The following is an 18,087-nucleotide window of genomic DNA, read 5'->3' on the forward strand; positions in this document are numbered from 1 at the left end:
GGAGGAGGGGAGGTCCCATCTGGACTAGTGGTCCTTCCAGAAGTCTGCAGCCACATCTCGCTGGTACCCTTCCTGGAATTCTAGTATTTAACAACACAACATCTCCCTTGTTCCCTCTCATGTGTGGAGCAAAGGAGGTCTGGGGAGTGTGGGTCTGGCAGGAGGGGGATATCAACAGGAGCCCGCATCGGTCCTGCAAGGGCACAATGGTGTGTGGTGAGAAGAGGAAACGGGGGACGATCTGGACAAGTTCTTGCTCCCTCAACTCCAGCAGGACCCAGCAGCACACCGGGGCATGTGTGGGAGTCGGCATAGCCTCACTTTCCAGTCCTTTATGCAGGCCTGCATCAGGCATCTCCTCATGTCTCCAGACGCACTCTGGAATCTGATGGAGGGGTGAGGGAACTTCAGAGTTAATAAACTTTAATCTTCTAGGGCACACTGCAATTAACACACCCCAAAGTACAGTTACTTTGTAATTAGATCGAAGAACAAAACCCAAAACACTCATCCAGGTAAAGTTATTGTCAAACTTCTTCCATAGGTTTCCTAGCAATTAAACTCACTTACTCATTTTGTCTGGAAAAAGTATGTATTACTTCAATTTAAACTAATGCCATAATGATCCAATGTGTATTATTAATGAGATCAGCATGGCAGTTCAGTCATCTGGCCTGCTTTGCCAGGGGCCGCAAAGGAGACGTCAGCAAGGGGCATTGATTAAAGTAACATTTGCCCCGATAATTCCCTTTCTTCCACGGAATTTTACTTCAGGAAGACTCTGGGGGTGAGATCCCGACAGATATTTTCTATGAAAACCAGTTAAGCTGTCCAGCTTAGAAGGCATGATGGCTCTTCGGAGCCACCTGTGACTGTGCAAGGAGACCTTGGGGAAGCCTTGGCAGCTCAGCTCCTCCATAGGGCAAGGTGTGTAACCTGCAGGTGAAAGAGCTGACCCCCAAGCTCTCTCTGTTTCCCCAAGCACCAAGAACACAACCAAAATACAGCTGTGTTCTGGGCTGCTGAACAAGCCAGGACTGGGATTCACCAGGTCTGCCTTGGGAAGCCAAGGAAGAATGGACAGCAATGGGACCACTGCTGGGCACAGCTCCAGAGTAGTAAGTGTTACTGAGCAGTTACCACGCGCCAGGTACTGAGCTAAGCCCCTGACATCTATTGACTCATTTAATCCACACGTTAACCCCATCAGGCAGAAAGTAGTATTGTATCGCAATTTTACAAATGAAAAAACTGTTGCACAGAGAGGTTGAGTAACTTGCCCAATGTCACACAGATATGGCAGCGGAGCTGGGATTCAACAAGAAGACTGCTCTGGAGCCCATGCCCCTAACTATTAAACGCAAAGGTTATCCTGAGCCTGACTGGAGGAGCAAACTGCCAAATCTCTTGCACCAAGATTCTACCAAGGTTGCCTAGTGCCCACACGCACTGCCATGAGGGAAGAATGTTGGTTCCTACCACTCTTGGTCCCCATGCATGGTTTGTTGTGATCATATAGACCACTTACCATGTGCCAGGCACTCTACTAGTGTTTTGCCCTTACAGCTCAGAAATTACCCTATAGATGAAGAGGCTGAAGCTCAGAGAAGTCACCTTGCACAGGAAGCAGGAGGCAGAGAGGAATGGCGATCCATGCTTACTTTTTTATTTACTCATTTATTTTTTGCACTTGATGCAAAACTCAAAAAGTACAAGAAGTTATGCAGTGAAAAATTCATCTCCCATCCCAGTCCAACCCACTGTGTTTCCTTTCCTTAAACAGCATTTCCTTGGAGTGACCATGTGTGTCCACTCAGATACACACACATAGAAGCTCACTTGTACACAAAGCAACACCCACGTCACCATTCTCACTTCTCTATTGTCAGCTAACAGCACCATGTTTTGGAACTACTTCTACTCAGTACATAAGGAACTAGAGTTTTCCATTACATGTAAATATCATAATATATTTAACCAATTTGCTGAAGATGGACCTTTAGGTTGTTGCTAATTTCTGATGTCATCAAAAATGCCACAATAAATCTTTGTACATCAAGCAAAGACTCTACCACGGTGTTTGCTCCCCACAGCTTTGCCAAGAGGCTGTGAACAGAGCTGTGGACCCTTTGGGAACCAGAGCTGGCCAGCCCCCAACTCTCCAGCCATATGGCCTAGAGCAAATCCCTTTACTTCTCTGAGTACAGAACCCACCATGTGGGGTTGCCATTGGGATGATGTGAGCAAGGGCAGCTCCACGCTCTTTCAGGGCACCCAGCATGAAGCAAGGGCTAGAGGGACTTGGAGCTGTTACCCGCTGGCATGACGCCTGGGTCATCTGGGAAATTCGGGTCCTACCTCTAGCTTAGACTCTGGGACTGTGGTTTGTCCTAACTCGGATCATCATTCCTGAGAATGTGTCAGTTTCTGCCCTTTTGTTTGCAGAGAATGACTTCAGACAGGACGCAGTGAAAGGACCAGAGCCTTCTAGAGATGAAGGCTTTGCCTTTGTCTGTCTTCAAATCTCTGGATGGGGTATAAAGAACAGGACCCAAGAGTGCCACCCGAGGTAGCAAGATATGGCTCCCAGAGATTTCTGGGGATCCTGAGCATCTAAGGCCTCCTCCGACTGTCTCTCCAGTCTTATCCCTAGCCAATTCCCATATTCCAGCCATATGATCTTTCCTCCTCTCCATTGCCCCCAGACCTTTCCTCTGGAAAGAGGGAAGCAAGTTCTTCCCTCTGCTTAGAACACTCTTCCTACAGCCCTCAGTGCCCTTTGCTTGCCTAACAAAAAATAAAAACTACTCCTATTTAAGCACCTGTTTAAATGTCACCTCCAGCCCCCAGTGCCCTTTGCTTGCCTAATAAAAAGTAAAAACTACTCTTATTTAAGCACCTGCTTAAATGTCACCTCCTCCAGGAAGCTCTTCCTAACCACCTTGCCATAGGCTGCACTGAATTTGCATGAGCTTTCTTCAGTTGCCACCAAGGAAAAGACTGGCCCAAAGGCATGGCAAAGTGGAGCAGTGTCAGGGTGGAAGGAATATCAGCCCACAGATGCTGAGAGAGGTAGGCTTGCTAGGCTCGCAGAGGGGCAGGGGAGGGCAGGCACAGCCTGGCCAGGCCATAGCTGTGGACACCTAGCCAGGTGGACAATATCTGCCCTCCATATAGAGAGGGAGGTTTCAGCAGGAAAATTTCTTTCTGACATTCAGGTAGGAAAGGACTTCTTAAACAAGACAAGCAAAAGAGCTAGCCATAAAAAAAGATGACTACATTTGACAACAATACAATAAAGAATTTCTGTTCACTAAGACAAACAATTAACTTAAAGAAGATATTGCCACACTTAAAAAGAAAAGGCTCGATTTTAAAAACAGGCAAAAAAATCAACTACAAACAGGTGTTTCACAAAAAAGAAAATAAAAATAGCCCATAAAGATGTGAAAAGATACCCAACCTCATCTATCATCAAGAAAATGTACATTAAAATCAAAATAAAATTACATTTTACACTAGAAACCTAAAAGTAACAAGAAGACAAGTGTTGGTGAGGTTAGGGGACTTGGGGAAATCTCATATATTGCACATGGTAGTGTGAATAGGTAGGAATGCTTTGGAAAACAGTTTGGTCTAACCTAATAAAGTGAAATGTGCACTGACCCAAGAGTCCAGCAATTCTGCTCCTCAGAATAGACCCTGAAAAGCTCTTGCACACAAACACCAAAAGACAAATATGAGAATGTTCCTATCAGTATTTTTGGTAATAACAAAATCCTGGAAACAACACAAATGCCCACAGACAATAAAGTAGATAAATAAATCAGGGCACACAGTGCAGCAATAAAAATGATTAATACATCCACCTGCATCAAACGGATCAATCTCAAAAACCTAATGCTGAGTGAAAATTAAAAAACAATCTCAGAAGCATGCAGAAGTGTTATTCCACATATATGAGTCGCAAACCAACCATGGGTCCCATACTTGTATGATAAAACTATCAAGGAATGGAGCTGCAAGCCACTATCCTGAGCCAACTAACACAGGAACAGAAAACCAAATATAGCATGTTCTCACTTATAAGTGGGAACTAAATGATGAGAACCCATGGACACACAGAGGGCAACAACACACACTGGGGCCTATGGGAGGGTGGAGAGTGGAGGGTAGGAGGAGAGAGAGGATCAAGAAAAACAACGAATGGGTACTAGGCTTACTGTCTTGGTGATGAAATAATGTATACAACAAACTCCCATGACATGAGTTTACCTATGTAACAAACTTGCACTTGTACCACTAAGCCTAAAATAAAAGTTAAAAAAAAAAAAAAGACACTGGCTTGGGATCCTCTAAAACAGTGAAATACATGTACAGTGTTTTAAATATATGAGGCATAAATTTAAAATTTCCATGCTTAGATACAACTTGGCAAAACTTCAGACACATAAAAAGAAAAAAAAACTATCAAGGAAAGCGAGGGTCTTGTTAGCACACAATCGGGAGAGTGTTTAAGTCCCTCTGTAGGGGAGACATGGTCAGGTGAAGCACACAAGGGCTCCTTGATATTTTTCAAACTGATTGTGGGTTCATGAGTCTTCAGGTTATTAATCTTTTAATTAAACATATACATCGTAACCATGTGTAGCTTTCAATTAAAAAATAATTTTTAAACTAGCACAAATAGACAGTGGCCACTCAAACAGAGCCCTGATGTTTTGTTTCTGTGGAATCCCAGCTCCCAACCCATCCCAGGTCTGCGAGCTAGCCCAGAGACCAAGAAAGGACTGCCGTGCCCTGGAGATGCCCCTGGGCCCCTGGGGCCTAACTTCCAATGCCAGCCCATGCAACATTAGCCAAGTTACTCCACCCATCTGTGTCTTCACTGAAAATGAGTGCCTAGCAAAATACCTGGCATGCGGTAGGGATTCCGTGAATATTTTTTGAATGAAGGAGTCAATGATATCTAAGAGCTCATCATAATTACAACCTTCATCCAAATTTATTCACTAGAGGGAAATTGTGGATACAGCTACTAGCACCCCCCTCCCACCTCGGCCCCTGCCAATGCATACACACATGAATATCCCAGCATTTGAAGTGGCAAGTCAGAAAGTTCTCCATTCTTTTCGATCCAAACTTTTGGTATTTTAATGTTGCAAATTTTCTCTCTCAAATGTCGTCTTCTCTTTTATTTTTCCTTTCACTGTCATAACAAGCATACAAGTATTTTCAGTGGAATTTTACCAAATAGCACATCTTGTAAACCATATACATACCAACTCCTCTCTCACCCTTCTGCCAAATTCTGTCTTGGAGCCCATGGCTTTTCCTGCTCTGATTTCTAACTCCTGGCTCAAATGCCCAGTCCTCAGGCTCTACCTGGGGCAGGACATTCCAGGGTTTAAAGGGAGGCTGATGGGCAAATGAGGAAGAATCAGGCCTTGCCCCACAAAGGAGGGAGCCTATGTATGATGCTCACTAAAGTGACTGCATCAGCCTAGAGCATGCCATGTCCTTCCAAACTACCTCCCTCTTTCTTGGCATCAACTCTGACTGGCTGGGGACAGGAGCAGGAAGCTAGAGCCTAGTAAGTCCAAATTACAGAAATAGGATGATGCCTTGGCTAAATGCATGGGTACTAAAGTCAGGAAGAACCTTTCTGAGCCTCATTTTCCTCATCTGTAAAATGTAGCAATAATCTGACCTCAGAGGGATGTTGGGTGGCTAGAATGAAGTAAAATACATAAAGGTACTTGCAGATCAGCATTGAAAAAAAGTTGCTATATTTCCAAACCACTTCTGTTTGACTTTGGAAAGAACAGAATAGTCTTTACACTTAATTTGCTTTTGAATTGTGCTCATCTGCAGCTAGTGCTACAGTGAGTCAGTGGGAGGAGGGGCCCTGAGGTGTTCCAGAGGCACCGTTTGTCTTGGCTGTATTAGCAATGTGTATCCACCTAGGAGTGACACTGGGACAGGCCACAGCCAGCCATGCCGAGGGAGCAGCCACACTTGCACTCCGAGGGCTGGATGTGCTGCATCAAACAGCAGATAGGCTGAGCTGCCTTGGCTCACTTGACACAAGCATGTTGGAAATGGGCAGCAGCTGGGCTGGGCATGAGGGGAAAGCCAGGACGAGCACTGGGCACCGGGTTAAAATTTTACAGAAAATGTGTAGAGGCAGAAACCAAGCCTCAATGCTTGTCATATCAGGAGGCCGATGACCAGGGCAGGCAAAGGCAGGAGGTCCTGCACAGAATCCAATAAAAGAGTTCTCTGGCCTCCAGCAAGCCGAGAGCCAGAAGGGCTAGCACCCTGGACAGCGCCATGAGCACACCACTCTGACGCTGTCTTCTGACTGAGAACCCCAGCTCTGGGGTTCTCCGCTCACCTCCACCCTCCAGGTCTGAACCAGCAAACATGACAGGTCTCTGCCAATCCCTCTCTTGCACCATGGAAGCCTCACAGACTGATCATGGTGTTTTCTGCTGCTGAGCCCACACACGGCCTCAGAATCCTTCCCAGCACAGCTCCCAAGCAGCCTCAACCAACCAGCTGCAGTGGTCCTCCAGATGAAAGCTACTGGTCACTTGGCGACTTTATGGAATTACTGATAAGGAGCAGTCTGGTTGGAAACTAACTTCAACCCCACCAAAGGTAGCAAAGGTGTCCATGTCAGAAAAGAGGAACACAGCTTTTGATCACATTGGAGATTCTGGGTGGAGGAAAGAAGAGGGGTGGGGGAGTGTGACTGTAGAATACAACCTGTTTCCTAGCCTACACCCCTTCCCTGCTACCTCATAGTCAGAGGTCAGACCATCCAGTACCCTTGTCCTTCTCCCCATTCCTCCTTTGTTTTGTGTGAAAATGGCTTGAAAACTCCATGTCCCCATCCATGAATGTGTCGAGGGGCTACTCTATGCCAGGCACCATGCAGGCTGCAGGGCCATGGTGGTGGGAAGCACACAGCCACTCTCCCGGACTTCACTGCATCACCAGGCAGTCCAGCACTCATGGAGGACTAGCCCTCATGAGAGTCAGGACAAGCCAAGAGCAGGCTGAGGGCAGGACGAGCATGTCTGCGAGAGCGTGTAACCAAGCTGCCAGCTCTGTAGGACAGGTGGGGCTCAGGGACACCTTTCTTTGAGGACCTGCATCTTGAGAAGAGTGAGGGTAAGGAGGGTAATAAGAAAACAGGACTTGGGCAAGTGCCACCAGGCCTTGTTCAGTCTGCAGGAGTCACAGGAGCCCAGGCGGGTGGGCAGGCTAGAGAGCTGATCACCTGCCCTCCCAGCGGCTGAGGCTCCCATCAAGGTCGCCTCCCAGGCTCTAGGGGAAAACTGTGTCTGCAGGCCAGATTGGAAACAGAGCAATGGTGCCCAGAGAAAGTGAGATGGGAAGGGCCTGGGCACACTGGACCACAGCACCCCCATCCCTGGCAGTGTCCATGCCTCTCCACAGGGTTCAGCCTCAGAGCAGGCTGGACTTTGGGGTTGAGCCACCAGCCCCAAGGGTTCTCGGGGAAGGCCTGGCCCCTAAGAGATCCCTGCAGGCAGCTCGGGGCTGTTACAAAATCTCCAACTCCTCACCAAGGGCCAGGGACTGAGCAGGAGTGGGAGGGTGGGAGGGAGAGGCCAGGTCCTGGACTGAGTCCAGTTCAGGTCCTGCCCTTGTCCCCATCCACCTCATCTTTATTTCAGCACAGTGACTGTTTGCTCTTTCAATTCTTCCTGGAAGACTCCAAACAGCATATTTGCTCAAGAGCTGAGGACAACATTCCAGTCTTAGAGAAGAAGAGTATTTAGGCAAATGCAAACATATGCTGATTTCTTTTCTTAGTTACATTCTTGGCAAAGAAATTATATCACCCAGAGACAAAATGGGACTTTTGAAGGTCCACCCATTCCATCCTGGCACCAGCCGTGGGGCTGCCAACCCTCATCAGTCTCCCACACCCTCTAACATGTTATGGAGGTGGCTGTGGCTATAAAGAGGTAGCACAGGGATCCTTGTGAAGGAACTGCTCTGTATCCTGACTGGTGGTCATAGGAATCTACACATGTGATTTTTAAAATGCATAGCAGTAAATCCACACCTGCAAGAACACGTGCACTACTGAAATATGAACAAGGCCTACAGGCTGTATCAAATCCTGGTTGCAATATTGTACTACAGCTATGCAGGATGTTACTGTGGGGGAACCTGGGTGAAGGGCACGCTGGATCTCCCTAGGTTGCTCCTTATAATTGCATGTAAATCTAAATTATCACATAATTTTCAAAAAAATTGTTTAAACACTAAACATGGAAACCATTCTATCTCAGGATTAAGACTAGTCTGTTTTTACAGAGCAGTCATAAGAAAACCTGAAGCCATTTCTCCAAAGCCCATTTTTGTGGTTTCCTAACAAGCAAATTATGATTTTTTTTCATATGAGAGGTCTTCAAAGAAGCCATGCCCAGCCCTACCCAGTGTTCCCAACCCCCAACCCCAGCCTGGCTCCATGACACTCAGGGCATTCCGTCCCCTGACCTTTGCCCCAGCCTGGAACCCTGAAACTGAAGGCAGATTGCGATGGATGGAGGCAAGGAGCCAGGAAGGCCAGGCAATCGTCCAGTGTGAAGGGCACTCTTTGGAGAGGAGACCTCCAGGAGGAACCATGCTTTCCAGCCTCCATCTGTGCCAGCATACAGCCCTTTGGATCCCTGCCAGCAGTTTATTAATATTTTATTGAAACCTCTAAGATGATTCAAACTTCAGCCGTCATGATAAGGTGTTGTTGCTAGGCAACTTTATACCTATCTATGGAGCTGTTGTTGCAGCTCTTCCTGACTCATGAAGCTCGAGGTTTGACCCTATCACCTGGAGGCCCACTCAGCACAGACCACCCCTGACCGGTCCAGGGCCCCACCCACTCTCAGGTCTCCCAGCATCTGGCCATCCCTGTCCCCAAGCAGCCCCAGCTCGCCTGCCGGACAACTCACCATACTCGCTGTCGTAGAACATGACGAACTTCTGCCAGCGCAGCTCCGTCACCAGCCTGAGCATGACATCATTGAGGCGGACGGGTGGTCTCGAAGCCAGTGTGTAGGCCTCACCATCGGGGCTGGGGTTCAGGTGGCATGCGGTGCGTGGCGACCCTCCCGGGTTGCGCTGGACAAAGAGGTGTGGGATGTGCATGGCATCCGTGAGGGACTGCAGGGCATTGGCAGATGCACAGCCAGTGGACGTGACCAAGGCCAAAATCCCCTGGGTCATGAGGTCACAGGCTAGAAAGAGAGAAGAGAGAGAGGAAGGGGTCAGCATCAGGGCGATGCTGCACCAGCTTCAACCTGCAGGCCCCATGCCTGGCAGCTCATGCCCAGGACTCCCAAGAGAGGCTGCCTCCCTCCAGGACCAAGAACCATCCTGGGCAGGCCAGTGGCTCTCATAAGCACAGCCTCACTGACATCCTTGGTGAAAATGCCAGCTATACATTCTTGTACCCATTTAACATGAGAAAATAGAAGTCAAAACGGGCAAAACCATTTGCCCTAGGCTAGTCAGGGAAGGATGGTAGAGCACAGATCCATCCCAAATCTGCCTGATTCACCCCCACTGAGCTGTAAAATTAGCCATCCTGTTTCCCACCTAGGACTATAAGCCCTTTAAGAGCCAAAACGTCATTGTGTTGATCTGTGCATCCTCATGCCTAGCCACAGGCAGAGAATATACTGTGTGTTCTACAACTGTTGACTGAACTGAACTGATTGGGACTGAAGGGACTAAATGGCTTCTGAAAGTCAGAGAGGTACTTACCCAAGAGGACCCAAGATGTAGGAAAAAAATAAAAAAGAAAAGAAACCCTAGGTCTTCTGGCCAAATCCAAGTGATCCATATCACAAAAATACTGGGCCAAACCCCAGATGAAGCAGTTGTTCCAGAAGGATTATTCAAAAGCCACTTGACAATAACAAAGAAAGACGTTCCCGCCACTCAGGCAGTTACCACGGGTGTGGAGGAGGAACACAGCGGACGCTCCAGCAGCCGCTTCTAGGGCTGACACGCTCAGGGGCTCATCTTTACAAGTTCTCCTGTAACTGCAAGAGGCGCCCCTTGTAGCCACGTGCGTACACTTTTTTGGGACATCAACCAATTAATAGAAAGATGCACCTCCCAACGCTGCAACCCACTGCACCAGTTTTGAAGCAAACATCTCTTACTAATGGTTTATGCGATGGCAAGGATGTGGAGAAGCAGATGCAGTTTCTTTTTTTTTTTTTTTTTTTTTGAGACGGAGTTTCGCTCTGTCGCCCAGGCTGGAGTGCAGTGGCGCGATCTCGACTCACTGCAAGCTCCGCCTCCCGGGTTCACGCCATTCTCCTGCCTCAGCCTCCCCTGTAGCTGGGACTACAGGCACGCGCCACCATGCCCGGCTAATTTTTGTATTTTTAGTAGAGACGGAGTTTCACCGTGTTAGCCAGGATGGTCTCGATCTCCTGACCTCGTGATCCGCCCGTCTCGACCTCCCAAAGTGCTGGGATTACAGGCGTGAGCCACCGCGCCCGGCCGCAGATGCAGTTTCAAAACACAGGCTGTGAATGGCAGCAGGCCATCTGCTGCACACAGCAGACTTTGAACAACTTTTGACAATGCAGTTCTTTTGGTCAAGAGCCCTTGGGTTTATGTAATGCCTCAGATAAGGCTGGGAGAGAGAGAGAAGAAAAGGGGGAACTGACCCCAGGGAGCAAGGCAGTGGGAGGCAGGGGAACATGTGGGAAGGGGAGGGTCCCCCCACACTCTCCAGCAGCAAAGACCGGCTGCCCTCCATGCAAGGGCGCTCGCCTTGCACCTGCATGAGCACCAGCAGGAAGAGAACCCAAATCCTACGGTTCTCTCCTCTTCAAGGCCACCGGCAGGGGGTAGCTAAACAAGAGATGATGAGATCTTGTGAATCTCACAGTCCCCCAGATGCCCTGGCCCCCTCCTACCCCAGCTCCAGTCTGCTGAGTTCTCTCCTAAACAGAAATCCATTGCGTGCCCTGCTGTGCCCCCCAAGAGCCTAGGGATAAAGTAAAAGCCCACTCCTGAAAGGGTGGTCTTGCAAGCTCCCATACCTGCAGCCTCATGCTCCTCACCACACCCTTTTCTGCTACATCCCAACCAACTGCCCACCCTGGACCCTCAAACTCACCTCTTCAATCCTGATGCTCACTCTTGCTTCAAAACTCAGACTCAGCATCCCCAGACTGGCTCATAACCCTTGTGGCATTATCCCCCTTCACTGCACTTCCCTGTCATGAGCCACATGTTGCCTGTGTTACTGGCTGGCTCTCCAACTTGACCCCAGGCTCCAGGAGGACCAGGGTCATGCCTGCTGTGTTCACCATCCTTTCCCAGACACAGGCTAAGCCCAGTTCACAATAGCAGTAAAGACTCGTGCAAGAACACCATGCAAGAATTTCCATGGCCCCAGTCAATAATTCCTCTCTGGGTACCTGTCCAAACCGTAGGAACAGCACTCAATCCAAAACCATTCAGAGGACACTATCCATACTCTTGGAATATTGCTAATGATCTAAAAGATGCAAATAGATGAGTGGTTATGAAAGTGCCCCATTTTCTGAAAGTATATATAGCCTTTAAACTAGTCAAGAAGATACTACAATAACATGGGAAAGTGCCTGTCATAAAAAAGGTAGGTGAAAGTGATACAAAATTGTATGTATTTTATTTTATCAATTAAATAAAACATCAACATGCATGAAAGAAAAACCAGAAGGAAATATTGCAAAATGTTAAAAGTGACTGCAATTTAGAAGAAACCTGAAAGTGGTTTTCATTCTTTTCTATATTAGCCAAAATTTTGTGACATAAACAGATAATTCCTTTTAAAAAGAAAAATAATCCTCTGATAATGGATAAGCAGGAAAACTACACAGGAGGAAGGACTATTGTGTGAGAATTGCCTCTGTGCCAAATTCTCTTGGCGTCCTTTGTACATGTGAATTCACAGTATTCTCAGGACATTTGTGTAGAGTAGGTATCATTGCATCCATTTTCCAGATAATGAGATGTGAGGCCACACAACGAACACTGCCACAGACATGGGGAAAATGCTTCTGAGAGATGGTCACGTGAAAATACCAGGGCACAAAATTATATGCTAACTATGATTACAGCTAGGCAGAAAGCACACCCATGAAAACAGCAAGAGAAAACACTAAAAGCTAAGGCACTATGACAATACGTGGATATTTTTTCTTATGCATGCTCTCTTTAATGCCAATACAATACATTTATAATCTTAAACAGCAATTGTATAAAATAAACTGTATATCCCTGGGACGTAAATTGTCCAGGAACTCCAATGCTCAATTGTGGAATTGTCCCATCCCAGGACTCCCACGGAGAGTCCTCCTTGCAGCCATCAGTCACTTTTGGCTCTTGTTGCCCCACCTGCCTGGCTCCCTCCCAGGTCATCATCTGTCCCCACTCCATATATGTCAGGTTCTGAAGTGGCAGAACCTCTCTGAGCCTCAGTTTCCCCATCTGGGCATGCATGCCACTGGCTCCTGCCCTCCTTGTCTCATACATACACTTGGTATCCCTGCCCACACCCCACAAGCCAGCCCCTGCCCTAAGCACTGTCAGGGGGAAGAGCAGGATGACCACAGGTCCCATCTTTGAGGAGCTTAGGATCCACTGAGGAGACAGACTCTGCAACTCAACTGGAGGAGAGAGAAAGGAAGCTCCCTGGGACACAGAGGAGGGTAAATTCATTTGTGGTTGGCACCAGGGCCTCAAAGGAAGGAAGGGACTTAGAACCTTTCAGGGTCTCAGGAGAGCAGCACAAGGTGGGTGCAGAGTGACAAAGACATATAGCCGGGCTGAACCCTCACCAGCTACCACCTCACCAGGGGTGGTGGGAAGAGCATTCGGATCTCAAGCATTCATTCACCCAAGTTCCAGTTTTGGCTCCTCCGGTCAGTAGCCACACAGCCATGGGCATGTCCCTTTCTCAGCCTCCATTTTCTATTAAATAGGAATAAGAATCTCTACCCAGCAGAGCTACGAGAGCACTGACTTAGGACGCTGATAGCAAGTGCCAATGCCTCACAGTGCACAAGATGCTGAACAGATGTCAGCCTCCTGCCCCTTCCTTGGACATCCCATCTCTCCACCAAAGTCATGCCCAGGATCTTAAGTACTAGTAGTCACAGGCAAGAGCCATCTCGCCCTCCCCGTGGAGGTGAGCACTGCCGGCCCACCCCTCGTGGAGCCACCTGCAGCGTTGTAAGCGCCAGGCCTCCACAAAAAGGGTGGGTAATTAAGGCTGGAAGCCTCTCCCAGGCGCTAATGGAGAGGCCCGATGTGAGTCAATTTCCAATCCACTGTGAATGGCCTGCTAATTGGGGCACTGTTGAAATGATGGTTATTTGGAGGCTTCTAACATAAAAATAATAAGATCAAAATACATCAGATCAAAGCCAAATCAGCTATTAGCTTAATCAAGGTTGTGTGTGATGGGATGTTACACAATGCATGCCCTGGTTGTTGTGACAGATGCTGAACCCCAGGACTGGGACTGGCCACCTGGCCGGAGTCCGGGGCCTGCCCTGGTCACAAGCTGGGACTGTGGGTGAGGGCTGGTCCTCTCTGGGTTACTGGTTGGCTTTCTCTTTATTTCTTTCTGTCTTTCTTTCTTTCTTCTTGGGGGGGTCAAATAAAGATGATGGCTCCCTCTTCACAGGGCTGCTCCATGTGTGCCATGAAAGGTCTTTATATGTGGACAGCCATTCATGCTGCCTGGCACATAGTAGCAACTCAGAAGTCATCGCTACCTAGGATGATGCTCAAAGATGTTTTTACAGCTCTCTAGAGGATAACAGCTTTTGTTATAATTCTTTGCCTCCATATTATATGGTCACAAAGCTGATGTCTCTCTTGATTACAACACAGGCTTGATGGACTGATAAGGGCCCCCTGAGAATGACCCATCCATCAGCTGGGAAAGTAAGTAAAGACAAACTGTAATGAGCGGCTTCCAGCCCCCCCACCTGCACCCTGTGTCCTGGGAAAGTGGAGGGTCCCCACAAAAGAAAGGGCTACTCAGAGCTCGGCATTGGGGGTGTGGGGGGTGCCCAGACAGCATTCGCAATACAACTGCACAATCCACAGTCACATTCCCACCTGCTTCCCTGGAGAAGATGTTCACATCCCACCCATCCAGGCTTTTCCAGACAGCGGACTCTCAGGGGTGGGACATGTCAGGTGAGGTACTGGCCACTTCACAGAACAAACTCTCAGTAACTCTCACCCCAGGTGAGCTTTCTGATTTCCCTGGTTAAAAAAAAAAAATCAGAGCACAGAGAGTGCTAGTTGCTTGGCCAGGGCCACACAGCCAGAGAGCAAACAGCAAAGAGAACACCAGACCACCAGGCACCTCTACATCCAATGCTGCAAAGAGAAAGTGGCCAGCAGGGGACAGAACCCAGGATTCCAGGCTGACTCTACCCAACTGTCCCTGGATAGAAATCCCCAGGGCACCTCCCGGCTCAGTGCAGGCCCCAGGGAAGGAGTAGGCAGGCAGGAACAAGGCCTGTCTCCCCTGAAAGCAGATCCTTGACTCATCAAGTCACTGGGTGCCTGCAGGTGGGTGCTGGAGGTGAGAAAGGTGCCCTCAGACATTGAGGTCACTCTAGGCGCCATCACTAATCCATGCCCACTATTCTCCATCCCCGTGGGGATTTCTGGAACATTCTCAGAACAAGGCTGTGGGAAGCAATACCCCAGAAGGCATGTGTTAGAAGAGACCCACGGTTCCTGGTGCCACCCCCCAGTCACGACACTGGCCACTGCCAGCTCAGCCTTTCCCTCTGTCAGGTGCCCTGGAGGCATCGCTCCGCAGGCTTGCTCACCCAGGAAGAAGATCTGCCCATGCAGCCCCTGCAACTCTGAGGTCCCAAGCCCCCTCAACCGGCAGCTCCTGTGTTAGCTGGCCCCTGGGTGCCACCTTAAAGAACAGCAGGACATTTCCAAATGGATGAGGCAAGAGAGAGCCTCCACCTGGGGAGAAACAACCTGATGCCCTAACCTCAGAGGAACCCAGCAAGGCTCAGCTCCTCTCCACGGGCAGCAGAAAAAAGAGCCAGGCTCTGGGCAAACCCGGGCTCAGCCCTGCCTGCCCAGAAGGAATGGTCTCTCCCCAAGGGAGTCCAGCACCTCTGCCGCCCCCAAGGCTGCTCCACGAGCCACCTCGTTCCTCCAATAATCTTAACCTCCACGAGCACCCACCTGCCCCCAGCCACCCTCATTATCTGTACTCTTCCTTTCTTCCTTTAAATGGGAAACAGCTTTATTAATATTTGAATTCCAATGGCTAATGCTTTAAATTAAGGTAGCATTTATAAATACTTTAGAGCTGATAAATAATTGACCAAATTTAGTATTGTCATAACTCATAGTAAATTATTGATCTATGGAGAATAAATACGTTTCATCTTTTATTAAGACATTTAAAAGGTAACCAAAACCATAAAATGGTGGGGGGATGGGTGGTGGTGCTGTAAGAGGCCAATGCTAGAGCTCGGGCCCTGGAGTGAGCTGGCTCTCCCGTCCCTCCTGCAGAAGACGCCTCCCTCCAGAGCACAGGACACACACTTGACAGGCATCCATCCTGTCCCACAGACTGTGTTTCAGTGATTCTCTGCCCACTTTCCAACTTCCCAGAGACCTGCAGCAACCCCACCTCCTGCCTTGGAGCCTGCTTTCCTCCTCTCCAGTCACTCCATTACAGAATCCCTCTCTTTCCTTATGTAGCCTGGCTGCTGAAATCCCAACTAGGAGTCAACTCAGGGTGGATCAACCTGCCCACGCTCCTCCACACTGCCGGCAAGCAGTGCAGGGCCACAGAGAGTACCACGCACCTGGCAACTTGGTGACCTTGGCCACATGGCAGTCACCCACCTCAGCAGGGCTCCCCACGCTGACACATCTCTACCACCTCCCTCCCCGTTCTTCTTGAACCACCCAGGTTTATTCCCCAAGTTCAACGAATGACTTACATCCTTTTTCATGAATCAGAAGCCATCATCACAAGCTATCTCGCATGACTTCCTGCCTCCAGAGCTCCACACCTCCCTGTCTGTGCTGAAAGCTCAAGAGAAAAGTTTCTCCTAAGGCTGGTCCCTGCTCCTGAGCTCCGAAGCCTCCCTCCTCTGGCCTTTTCCCACACCCAGATCCATCATGTATACCCTCTCTTTATGGAATCATCAACATTCCTTGCATGTTTGACCCACCCCACTGAACACTAAGCCCGGCCCTATTGAGGGCTCTACCGTTATTTCTCAAGCCCACAAGGCTCCCCCTGGGGTCCTGACCCCCACCCACCCATCTGCCTGAGTTCTCCACTTAATGAGTCCCTTGGCAGCTCAAACTTGATGCATCAACACTGAACTGCCTAGGGTGTGAGTCTGTTCTTCCCGGTCTCCCAAACTCAGTAAAGTGGTGTCCCATCCACCCACCAGTTCCTAACCCTTCTCTCTCACTGGCCCTCTGCACCCAAGCCACCACCAGGCCTGAATGCTTTATCTCCCAAATATATCTTGAGCCTGTCGACTTTCCTCCACTCCACTGCCATCACCTTGGGCCAGAACACTGACACCTCTCCAGTGGACCCTTACACCTCCAACCTCCCCACTTGTCCCAGATGGACACACTGTCCATTCTACACACTAGTGGACTGGCCTTTATAAAGCACCAACCAGACAGTGCTGTCCCTGCTTAAAATCACATGAGCTTCCCACTGGCCTTAAAACAAAACGCACACCCTAATGGGACCCACAGGCCCAGCATACTCCACACCCTATGCCCTGCGTTCCAGGTAGCAGGCCTTTGTGCAGTAACTCAAGCGTCCCAAGCTCTTGCTCACTGCCAGGACTCTTCCCACACTCTCCCCACTGCCTAAAGTACTTCTGCTACGTCTGTCTGGCTAATTCTCCTTCTCCTGTGTGCTGGGTAGGTAACCATCATTCCCTCTAGAGAACCTTCCACACCGTCCCCAGTCTTCCCTCACCATGGTTTGCCTTCCTGGCACTAACAAACATTTGCCATGTTGGACTATTTTGTGTGGTCTCATTCTGCCCATAAGCAGAAGCACCTTCACTGCTTACCCGCCCCCCTGACCCCCAGCACCCAGCACAGCACAGCAGAGCAAGAAACTATGTAATCTGTGGCTCATGCCTGTAATCCTAGCACTTTGGGAGGCCAAGGTGGGCAGATTGCCTGAGCTTGGGAGTTTGAGACCAGCCTGGGCAACATGGTGAAATCCTGTCTCTACTTAAAAAAAATACAGAAAAATTTACTGGGCATGGTGGCCCATGCCTATAATCCCAGCTACTCGGAAGCCCAAGGTATGGGAATTGCTTGAACCCAGGAGGCGGAGGTTGCAGTAAGCCAAGATAGTGCCACTGCACTTCATCCTGGGCTACAAAGCAAGACTCCGTATCAAAAAAAGAAAAGAATCCTCCTAACAACTCTGGAAAATAAGCACAACTGGAGTCCAGATTTCGTGGGTGAGACACAAAGTTTTCAAACTTGCCAAGGTCTCACAGTGATCATGTTCACCAAAAGGCAAAGCCATATCCCACAATTTGGAGAAAGGGAGCCAGTTCCTTAAAGCCAACACTCCTTCTAAGGAGGGGTTCACTGAGAGTTTGCAGAGAACCAAGGGGACAGTGGGGAGGGAAGAGGTATGAGCCTGAGGCCTGGCTCAGGCAGCAGCAGCTGTGCAAGTATCTCACCAGGAGCACTACCAGGCTGGGAGCCCCAGCCTCTCTGGCCTCAAGCTCAGCCTAGCCCAGAGAGGCCCAGGGGAGCAGAGCCGAATGGTCCTGAGGAATGACGGACTGTCGTCCAGGGCAGGTGGGCAGCTCATGCAGTCAGGATGCACGAAGCAGACCAGGAGGGTGGGGAAGAGCTGGCAGCACCATGGGATCTCTGGGGCCTCATTCCTCTAACAATTAATGAATCAAAACCAATTCCCTGCTCCTGCAGATTGGAAACAGGGAACACTGGGTGGGATCATGCTCGCTTATTTAT

The 18,087-nt window shown here is 49.1% G+C and overlaps 1 protein-coding gene across 1 annotated transcript in view, besides 2 other annotated features; it reads right to left on the bottom strand.

The window, feature by feature from the left end:
- GRID1 (glutamate ionotropic receptor delta type subunit 1) overlaps positions 1–18,087 on the bottom strand; it is a 767,244-nt gene that overhangs the window by 597,822 nt on the left and 151,335 nt on the right. The window contains exon 3 of the mRNA NM_017551.3: positions 8,991–9,275. Coding sequence (NP_060021.1) covers positions 8,991–9,275 — 285 coding nt within the window. The remainder of the gene's footprint in view (positions 1–8,990; positions 9,276–18,087) is intronic.
- Positions 8,566–9,090: an enhancer, noted in NCBI's record as "H3K27ac-H3K4me1 hESC enhancer chr10:87965696-87966220 (GRCh37/hg19 assembly coordinates)". NCBI's record gives its function as "activates a minimal SCP1, AML or CMV promoter by ChIP-STARR-seq in primed H9 embryonic stem cells {active_cell/tissue: H9 hESC(primed)}" and the evidence as "EXISTENCE:reporter gene assay evidence [ECO:0000049][PMID:30033119]".
- Positions 9,091–9,614: an enhancer, noted in NCBI's record as "H3K27ac-H3K4me1 hESC enhancer chr10:87966221-87966744 (GRCh37/hg19 assembly coordinates)". NCBI's record gives its function as "activates a minimal SCP1, AML or CMV promoter by ChIP-STARR-seq in primed H9 embryonic stem cells {active_cell/tissue: H9 hESC(primed)}" and the evidence as "EXISTENCE:reporter gene assay evidence [ECO:0000049][PMID:30033119]".

Source organism: Homo sapiens, chromosome 10 (genome assembly GCF_000001405.40).
Source record: "Homo sapiens chromosome 10, GRCh38.p14 Primary Assembly".
Classification (NCBI taxonomy): domain Eukaryota; kingdom Metazoa; phylum Chordata; class Mammalia; order Primates; family Hominidae; genus Homo; species Homo sapiens.